Source organism: Homo sapiens, chromosome 1, assembly GCF_000001405.40.
Source record: "Homo sapiens chromosome 1, GRCh38.p14 Primary Assembly".
In the NCBI taxonomy this organism is placed as follows: domain Eukaryota; kingdom Metazoa; phylum Chordata; class Mammalia; order Primates; family Hominidae; genus Homo; species Homo sapiens.
The window spans coordinates 115,831,050-115,841,126 of NC_000001.11; the positions used below are offsets into that span (position 1 = coordinate 115,831,050).

At 47.0% G+C, this 10,077-nt stretch overlaps 1 protein-coding gene across 3 annotated transcripts; it reads right to left on the minus strand.

Annotated features, from left to right (window-relative positions):
* Positions 1–294: 294 nt before the first annotated feature.
* Positions 295–10,077, minus strand: NHLH2 (nescient helix-loop-helix 2). 3 transcript variants are annotated; one of them, XM_047421407.1, is made up of 5 exons: positions 9,899–10,077; positions 9,167–9,495; positions 6,720–7,331; positions 3,834–4,009; positions 295–3,300 (listed from the first exon to the last, which is right to left on the minus strand). In XM_047421407.1, exon 3 carries the CDS (start codon positions 7,321–7,323, stop codon positions 6,916–6,918), a length of 408 nt encoding a protein of 135 aa, XP_047277363.1. In that variant the 5' UTR covers positions 7,324–7,331; positions 9,167–9,495; positions 9,899–10,077; the 3' UTR covers positions 295–3,300; positions 3,834–4,009; positions 6,720–6,915. The 3 variants fall into 3 exon arrangements, with proteins under 3 accessions (XP_047277363.1, NP_005590.1, NP_001104531.1); NM_005599.3 differs by lacking the exons at positions 295–3,300; positions 3,834–4,009 and having other exon boundaries at positions 5,328–7,331; NM_001111061.2 differs by lacking the exons at positions 295–3,300; positions 3,834–4,009; positions 9,899–10,077 and having other exon boundaries at positions 5,328–7,331; positions 9,167–9,654.

A 10,077-nucleotide genomic window follows, 5' to 3' on the forward strand; every position in this document is an offset into this window, starting at 1 on the left:
AAACTTTCTCCAGAGATGACTCTGTGGAGCAATACCTGGTGCATTCACAAAAAGTAACCAGGGCTGGAGATGGTTCTCTGAGTGGCATGAGGTGACTTGTGCTAAAGGGTGGAGCTCTGTGAAAGAGGGTGGTGGCCTTAGTTTAAGCGGGAGTCGACTTCCTGGTGAGTAAAAATCAACTGGCACAAATTTTCTGAGCAACTACATTTTAAAAAACGCTCTTATGGAAAACTGTTAAAACATCTCCAAAAGCCAAGAGAATAGTGAAATGGATTCAAATATACACAACACCAATAAGTACATTTCATTTATTTTCTTATCCTGTCTTTCTCACTACCCCTTAAGACTTTTTGAAGCAAATCCCAAACATCACATCATTTCATCCATGAAGACATCAGTAAGTATCTCTTAAAAGATAAGGACTCTTTTTTCTTTTAACAACAAATATACCATTATCACAGTAAAACGAACAGTATTTCCTGAAAATCATCTGTGAGCACTTGCATATTTGAGGGGACTTTCACAGCTGATCTAACCCACCTTCCCTGATGACTTTTCCTTCTATCTTAAAAATGTACCCCTTGTCTGGCTGGGCGCGGTGGCTCACGCCTGTAATCCCAGCACTTTGAAAGGCCTAGGGGGGGGCGGATCACCTGAGGTCAGGAGTTCAAGACCAGCCTGGCCAACATGGTGAAACCCCGTCTCTACAAAAAATACAAAAAATTAGCTGGGCATGGTGGTACATGCCTGTAATCCCAGCTACTCGGGAGGCTGAGCCAGAAGAATTGCCTGAACCTGGGAGGTGGAGGTTGCAGTGAGCCAAGATTGCGCCACTGCACCACTGCAGCCTGGGCCACAGAGCGAGACTTGGTCTCAAAAAAAAAAAAAAAAATTTACCCCTTGTCGTCCTTAACTTTGGCAATTGCTCGTACACACACATTGGATGTGAGTGCCCGCTCATCCCCCTCTGCCTGACCTATCATGGGTGAGCAGGCCTGAAAACTGGCCCTCTGCTTCTAGACCTATCTTTAAAAATTAGCTTTGACAGAGTCTGTGCTTCTGACCAGTCTGCTATAGTGCTTATCACAGCATTCGTGCTATGGGAAAAACCAAGGTAAAAGAGAAAAGGCATAGACTGGGCCTTTATCATGAGTCGAGTGGGGCTTTCAGACCTGTAGATAACTCTACAGGTGTGCATGTGTGGTGTATTCCATGGATGACTATTAATTTACCTATGCTTCCTGTCTTAGAAGATGGGGATGATTTCTGGCTGACTGTTGAGTTAGTAATGTATCATATGCAGATGGATATAGTTGGTGGAAACCACAAATCATTACTATATTAAAGAATTAAAGCTGATTTTAGCTTATCCTATGTTAATTCCTGTGCATATTATAAATACAAAGGTAATGAAAATAGCTCACATTTATTGAGCACTTCCCATGTATTCCTATTCTGATAAGCACTATACATTATCCCATGGAAACCTCATGACATGCATTTGAGATTGGTACATACGTTGTCCCATCTTATGGATGAAAATGGAGGCTTGAGGAGATATAGTAACATGTTCAATGTCATACACTTAGAATAATTGGAGCCAGGGCCCGAACTTGGCTCCAGAGTCTTGGGTCTCAAACACAGAGATGGGAGAAACAGGTAAATTCAGTTAAAACGATGTATGTATGTGGGACTCAGAGAACAGAGCAGCTAATGCTTCTGAAAGAAACGGAAAGCTTTGTAATGATACGTGTGGTTACGTGTGGTCTGAGTTGGGTCACAGTGGAATCATCGGAATTTTCTGGGTAAAAAATGAGGTTAGGGGAGAGCATTGTGAGTAAAGGGGAAGTAAATACAAAGGCCCAGGTCGTAAAAGAAAAAGACTTGGCCTCTCTGGGGAAGTGAGGAAACCGAGTTTGCAGGAATATTTAATCTCTGGAGAGTGGCTGAAAATGGCACTAGTGAGGGTCTGGAACAAGACTGTGAAACATTTCTATGCCTAGATTGGGAACTTGAATTTTATTAAAAAATAAAATGGACATTCACGAAGGAGGATGGCACGCTAATTTTTAAAGATAGGTCTAGAAGCAGCGTGAGAATGGGCTGGAAGGTGCAGAGGAGTGTGGATGGAGCCAGCCTCACCCATGTGGTAGTGAATGACGGTGCCCTGGTGGGGGAGTTGTCACAGGGCCACCATTATCCTATAGTGTTTTCTTGCAAAGTAGAAAAATGCTCCCCTTCCTCCAGGTAGTCCAACTTCAAGCCAAGGCACATGCTTGACTTGGCATACAGAGCACAGGCTTGGTTTTGGCCTCCACTGGTCCCATTGGTTGGGCAGCTGTGTGTACTGCAGACGCAGCACTCCTTAGGCATTACATGAGCTGAAGCTTTCCCTAGGCACATGGATGGAAAGATGCAGTGCAGGCACCAAGGGGGGTGGTGTGTGAGTGGCACAGCTACCCCTCTATCAAAGGACAACTCTAGAGGATGATGGGTAGGGGCAGGCACTTTGATAAACTGATAAACATGGCTTCATGGCCCTAAGCAAGTCATCTAATTTCTTTAAGCCTCAAATTCCTCATCTGTTAAATGGAGACAATAAAAGTACCTACCTCACTGGGTGGTTGTGAGAATTACAGGAGATAATGCATGCAAAGCACTTTAGTAAGCATGTAGTATACACTCAACCCACATTAGCTATTATTTCGACTACTAATACTGATAAATGAGATAGCACATCTAAATATGGAAAAGGGTATTGGCTGTGCATGCTCTTAAGTTGGCCCTCTTCTCCCCTTAAATTCTCTCCACCCCAAACATCAGCAAGAAAACTGGTAGCCAGAGACAGCAGTGAGGAGAGTTGGATAAATCACAGCATCACAGAGGCTGGCTCTGGCTACTCGCCTTATCATAGTGCTCTGGTGATACGTGTTCATGGGGCAGGGCCACTGGAGGGAGCTCCTGCAAACAGCATTCCTGTGGGAAGCGGGTATTCCCTCCAGAGTCCCCCACTCCCACCCAGTCTCATTTCCTCCTTACCCATTCCTCTCTCCTCAGTCGGCCCTTCCTTTACCATCCCATCCCATCATACACTGCCCCTCCTCTTCCCCTCTCCCTGGAGAGGAAGGTTGTTTTGCCCAATACTTTTACCCTTGTTCTCTGGAAGTTTCCGGGCAGTGGTAGAAGTGAGGGGAAGTCCATTTGGGTGGAGAAATATTCAGCACAGGCAGTCTTGTCCGCTGGGCCAGCTGGGGCTAGGCTTTCTGGGGAGCAGCAATGGCCTGGCAAGTTGTTGAGTGGCTGTGGGCAAAGAGAAGAAGGTGAAGGGACAGCAGGAAGACATGTGGTTCTGGGTCTGTTTGGTGAAAGACCAAGCTCAGGGTAAAGGATGAGGCTGGGGCCAGCTGCGGAAAGGTAAGTGACCTGCACAGACTGTTTTGGTCGCATGAGCACTCAGAACATTTTAATAGGATGAGAAAAGAAAAGGCAGTGCCAGTGGCAGCAACTGTATAAGCTGGTCCAGCAGGCCTAAGTCTCTAGGCAGAGGGTACCAATGTATTTCCTCAGAGAGGCTTTCTCCAACAGCCCTCTCTAAAATGCTACCCAGCACCAGCACGTCCAGCCCCCATCCTGTGTTCTTTACCCTGCTTATTTTTCTTCATAGCATTTAGCAATATCTAAAATCAAATATTGGGGGTTTTTTCGCTTCAGTGTACTGCTTTTCTCCAGTAGACTTTGTCTCATGTGTTGCTCTATTTTCAGCATTTAGAACAATGTTTGGCACACAGTGGGTCCTCAATAAACAAAGGTTAAATGTAAGAATGAATGCTCACCATCGTCATTCAAAGAAGAATCGAGACCTCATGGATGGGCGAATAATCACTGTGTCTGCGCTGTGCTCAGGGAATGAGCCAGTCACCCTCTGGTCTAGCAGACTGCCACCATGCTTGTCTCTCTTGGAGGGTGCTCAGCAGCTTTGGATTTGAAATGACATTGCAAAGATCCTCTCCTGAAATCACATGGGTTGCATAGCTAGGAAGGGATGCTGCCCTTTGTCCAAATCCCTAAGGCCCTTTGTCCAAATCCCAAGGGCCTTTTGTCTAGGGGAGTGTATCAGTAGGTTCCTCCTACATGTGAATGGGAGGTCTGTGTTGGTCAGTTGGAAGTTGGGCCCCTAAACTGGGAAAGACAGGCACTTGGAAGGTTTCCAGAGGTTAGAAGTTGACTTCATACCCTTGGCATAGGAGCAGGGCTAATTATTCTCTTGTATAATAGAGAGGTGCTATAAGAACTAGGAGTGGTTATCCTTCCACACTGCCTAGAGGTGAGAAGGCCTACAGGCACTCATGTGTTTTGCAGGTCACAGAGTAACCAGTCATTGCTCTAGTGGCCAGGACATTGTCCAGATACAAGGCAACAGAAGGTGCTGTTCTTTTTCACACACTAGGAAGTACTTTCCTACTATACACCTTCATATAAGGGAGAGGATGAGGTCCTACCTAGTAGGTATCTGTGAAGCTGACAAGAAGACACCTGGGTGAAAAGTGAAGAATACCAGCAATCCCACAGACATTTTATATGCATAAGGCCAAGCATCCATCTAACTGCATTTACTCTGAAACCAGAGATTTGGTGTGATATAGACTCATACTTCATAATATTCTATATATGCATATGTACATATAGTTTTTAAGTCATTTATGTCTTCTATTTGTAAGCAATACATTTCGCATTTTTATACTAGCCACAGGTTTTTGCAGATGTCATTCTTCTTATCTCAAGGTTGGTCCAGGGCTCAATTTTTTTTCTTGTTTGCGGATGCCCTGTCTTGAATCTGTGTACTGATTGGATGTTTGAGTATTACAATAGTAATACACACCTTGTTCTTAATAAGTGCCATGAGGATTGAGAGTCATCACATCAGGGATCTTCTTCTCACTGCCATTAAATAGCTATGTGTTTTAGTGTAGGTCACTCCTTGGGCCTCAGTTTCCCAACTCTAATTTGAAGAGGCTGGGTTAGAGAGTTATTAAGTTTTCTTTTAGAGGCAAAGAATCCACAATTCAAGTAATATTTTATATAAACACTATACTTCTTTTCCTCATTGTAGAATGATCTATGTCACCATCATATGTAGGGCATCTATTTATGGGACTGATCCACGTCCAAATTTGAGCATCAAATATTTCACTACATAAATATGTTTATGTTAAGATTTTGTTGTGCTTACCAGTTCCTTTCTAAGGAATTGAGTCCATTAAGATATTTCATGCTCAGCTAACATGTCCATTATTTTTAGACAGTGTGCTTAAAATAAAAGAGAGGACTTTATTTGATACCTTTATTTATATGCAAAACAGCGCACCATTCATGAGATATGAAAAACTCGTCAGATAGAAACCAGATTATATCTATTTTCACTACAAAATATTGCATTATATAAAGCAACAGAGACACAAAAAAACCCTGAAAAAGACTAAAATCTTTGGATAGCAGATGTGGTTTTTTTCCCTTGTCTCTAAAATACACTCCTTGTTTTAAGAGTTTCACAGCAGAGAACATGAAACATTTTCAGGTTATAGACTTTTCTTTTTGGTGTCACAGAGGAAAGTAGTTCTGAATTCTTTTTTTCTTTTTTTTTTAGGAAAATAACTTAATTTGCTAAATTCATCACACGCACAAACATCACACACACAAAGAAGCTACTCTCCTTATAAACAGCTTGTAAAGGACTTCTCAGACATAACTACAGATAAGAATAATACACTTTTTAAAAAACTATAATAGTGAAGTGCTAGTGTTGCTGATCTCACAACAAAAGAACCTTTCAAGAACAAACATCTTAATATATAAAATATGTTTAGAAACAGGGAGAAGTGGGAAATTTGTTATACAAGTGCAATATAATTAGAGCAGAAAGAAAGACCACAGTATAATCTCAACAAACACGTAAAAAGTTAGACATAATTATTCCACAGGAAAAAGTGTAAACACTTGACTATAAATAAATTGGCACAGAGTATCCAAAGTAAAAGTATCACCACTCTGAAAAATAAATGTCTTGAAAAAAATACTCTACTCCTTCTAACATAAATAAAAATAGGTTGTCTTTTTCTAACTGCACCTATGGGTCCACATGTTTAAGGTCACAAATAGATGTTTTTGGATATATAAAGGGGCACTTCGCCTGCAAAAGTAATCAGATATTAAAGTTTCCATTTAAATATGGATTTTCCTGTCTACCTTGGTGTCATATCTTGGGGATAAAATATCACCAAGCTCAGATCCTCCCACAGTGTGTCTACTTGTTCTCAATTTGTCTTTTTAAACTTACTAAATATTCAGGGTTTATTTGGATTCTAATATAATCTTTATTTTCACAACAGAAAGGAAAGTTTCCAGTCGCACCTTTCTGTGCCTTCCATCTCTATGGGAGAGATCCCTCCTCTCTCCTCCTTCCCAGTGTTTGGTGATTTGTCCATTAGAAAAATTCCAGATAGCCTAAAGTTATGAGCCTGCATACTCTGAACTTCTGCCCTCATTCTTTCAACACATTAAGATTTGTGGCGGATGAATGTAGGAGAACTCAAAGTCTCCAGTGGGTTAAAACCACAACCCTTGGGGAGCCCCAGAAGTGGCTCATCTCGGGTGTCTCCACGAGGTTCTCCTGGCCTGGAAAATCCCCCCTGCGAGCCCCCGGGCTCGCCAGACAACCCCACCTGCCTGCGTCGGAAACCTTCCCTCGTCGCCCTGCTGACCAGAGAGAACAGGTAGCGAGCTTCTTCCCCGGCCGTCTCTCGAGGCGGCCGTCTCGCTGGGCCACCGCAGCCTCCGCCACCCGAGCGACGGCGCCCGTCCGGATCCGTAGCGTTTCGCGGACGCCGGGACAGGCGGCCCCCCGCGGCGCACCCCGCCCTACACGTCCAGGACGTGGTTGAGATAGGAGATGTAGCAGATGGCCAGGCGCAGGATCTCGATCTTGGAGAGCTTCTTGTCCGGGGGCAGCGTGGGCAGCAATTTGCGGAGCTCGGCGAAGGCCAAGTTGAAGGCTTCCACGCGGATGCGCTCGCGGGTGGCGTGGGCCGAGCGGTACTTGGCCGTGGCGCGCCGGCGGCGGCGCTTCTCCTCGCGGCTCAGCTGCTGCGGGTGCGGGTAGAGCGCGGCTCGGCTGCCGCCCTTGCCGTCGCCCTCGGCCTCCTCCACCGGCTCCAGGTCCGACACGCTGCCGAGCACCTTGGTGTCCGTGCCGCCCAGGGACTCCGGATCCGAGTGCGCCGAGCTGGGATGGTCCGAATCTGCTGCTTGGTCCGGACTCAGCATCATTTTGGAGGCTGAGGAGGGGTCGGAAAATTAATCAGTAAAAGGAATCAGGGTATTTTGCTGGAAGGATGGCTGCCGAGGCCTACCACGCCGGTCCTCCCAGCGGACGCGCGGCCCGGGCCCCCTCCCCACAGCAGGCCGGCGCGCGACGCGGGAGGGCGCCGATAGGATCTGGCCCGAGGGCGCGAGCCCTGCGCCTCGCCCTGGCGCGGGAGCCGGCGGGGACGCGGTTGACCCAGGCCGCATACTAGACTGGACACCTCGACTTGCAGACGGCCACAGCGGGCCTGTGGCCCTGGGCCTGGGGAACAACCGCAGGCCTGTGGGGTCGCGACTGGGTTTTTGTGCCTCTTCCGGCCAAATGCCAACCGCGCTATTCCTCCTCCCTCCCTTCGTCCCCTTCCCGGACAAACGAGCGATTTCGAACAACGAATACATCTGGGTTTTCACGGGGGCGGGGAGACGCGGGGTGCACTTCTCGCCCCGAGGGCCTCCGGCGAAGCAACCCGGCAGCCGCGGCGCCCGAGGGCCTGGCGCTGGTCTGGGGCTGCGCCGGGGGCGCCTGGCTCTGGGGTGCGGCCGGTCAGGAATCCCCATCCTGGAGCGCAGGCGGAGAGCCAGTGGCTGGGGGCGGGAAGGCTTCTTGGACCCCTCGCGCTTCTCCGAAATCGTAAAGAAATGACTAAACAAACGTGGGGGAGCCTTTAAAAAGAAAATTGACTCCGATGCCCTCGCAGGCTCCCGGAGCACCATCTGTCACGCAGACAGCCACACACATAGGGGACCTAGGGACACGGCGACGTGGGATCAGACAATGCGCCCGGCAGTCTGGCGACCACCTTGCGGGAAAATGCCGGCAGCCGGGCCGCTGAGGGAGGAGAGGATGCAGAGGGAAGGGAAGAGAAGGGAAGGGCCCGGGGCGGGGCAGGCGGGGACTAGCGGGTGCAGCGCGTGTTGTCCCGGCGGGAGCTGCATCTCTGCCGGCAAAGTTCGGGCGCTCCCGGAACCGGAGCTCGGCAGGCTGCAGCTGTCCCCGGGTGGCCTGGCCAAGTCCGGGCATGTCGGTGCTTAGCCTTCCTCTAACTTAACTGTGCCCTCTTGGAAACGCCACCTGGCCAGGCTTCTCTGGGGCGCCTGGAGCACTGGCCCGGACTGTGCGCCTTCTGGGAGGGGGCCGCTCAGAACCGCTGGGCTTCCGGGTAATTCGGGCTTCGAGAAAGGGCCCGGCAGGAGGAGAAAGGCCCCTGCAGGGGCTGCACGCACCGCCCCTGGGCGTCGGGAGTGAGGACCAGGCTGAGAACTCGGGGCCCCGGCGTGGGCAGCCTCCACGACGCTCGGCACGGGAGAAATCCGCGTCGGCGACGTATAGGAGCGTTTGCTTCTAGAGAAACAAAAGCAAGGGGATGGGTGATCGGTTCCCAGCACCGCACTTGCAGAGGAGCGAATTGGGCCAAAACAGCTTTAATTTCCCTGCGAGGAAATCAGGTCCTCTACGGCAAAATAAAAACAAATGCTCCCAGAGAGCTGCATGTGACTCCCTACGGGCTTTTCTCGGGTACGTTTATGAGTAGAACAACTTGCACCTACACAGTCAGCTTGAAAGGGCAGAAATAAATAGACGAGTAATGGAAAATCACAATAAGCCACTAAATAGTTGTAGTTCTGGTAAAAAGTTCCTGGGTTGCCCTCAAAGCACATTAAATTCTCCTCTAGATCTTTAAAAATATTCATAAATAGTATGCCGTGTATGCGTTTTATCTCTTTATGGAATGAACTGCATCTATAGATACAGTATGAATAATCTAACTTATTTCAAGCTGAAAAAAATTATTTAAAGGAGTCTTACCTTGCAAAAGCCTTTTTGATAATCTGTTCTCCAATCTTTAGAGTTAAAATTCCAAGGAATAGCGAGGGGAGATTCCGGAAAATATTAAAAGCAGCAAATATTTATTACATTCAAAAATGAAAAAGCAGCTGTCATCTCGCTGGTGTCCGCAGCGAGGGACAATAATATCTCAGGATGTAGACGATATGAATGATTGTTCACTTAGTTGATAGATTTTTTAAAAAACGCTTTTTCCTTTTAATTGTTCTCAAACATTGCAAGAAATTCGTTGATGATTTTTTTAAACGATGTGTTGAAAAGTCTCGTGCCTTTTTTCCTCTTCTAGGTCTCTAAAAATAACAAAAGAGATGCAGAGATAAACACAATCACATCAAAGGGCTGATTCCTCCACTTTCTAATAGCGGAATAATCAATAAGAAAGATGGTTAAGATAAGATTCCGCTCCTATCGTATGCCTTTCTTTTCCTTAATACGGCTGAGCAGAAACTGGGAAGTGCAGGACAGAGATGTGATCTTGCTCAGAAGTGATTTTTTTTTTTTTTTTGAGATAAGGCTTTGTTCAGCTGATATCTCCCCAGTTCCCAGGAACACAATACTGTAACTAGGAGCTAAGGTTGCCTCTTCCTCTTCCCTCACTTACTTGTATGTTGTATAAATAGACACCTATTTTCCAGTTTCAAAGTCTTTCAAGGTTTGGCTATATCCCCCGTCCCCAGCCCCTCTTCTCTTTACCTTGTAGCAAAATATATATAGTCAGTGGCTTGGAGATGCTTGGAGAAAGGTTGGTGAAAAGTGAACGTCTCCTGGAGTAACAGTGACAAGGAAGCAGAGAAAGACGGGAAGAGGGTGGGAGAGCCAGAGCAAAGAGGCAGAGATGCGTGTGTGGCTTCTGGGCTCTCCTGGTACCAATT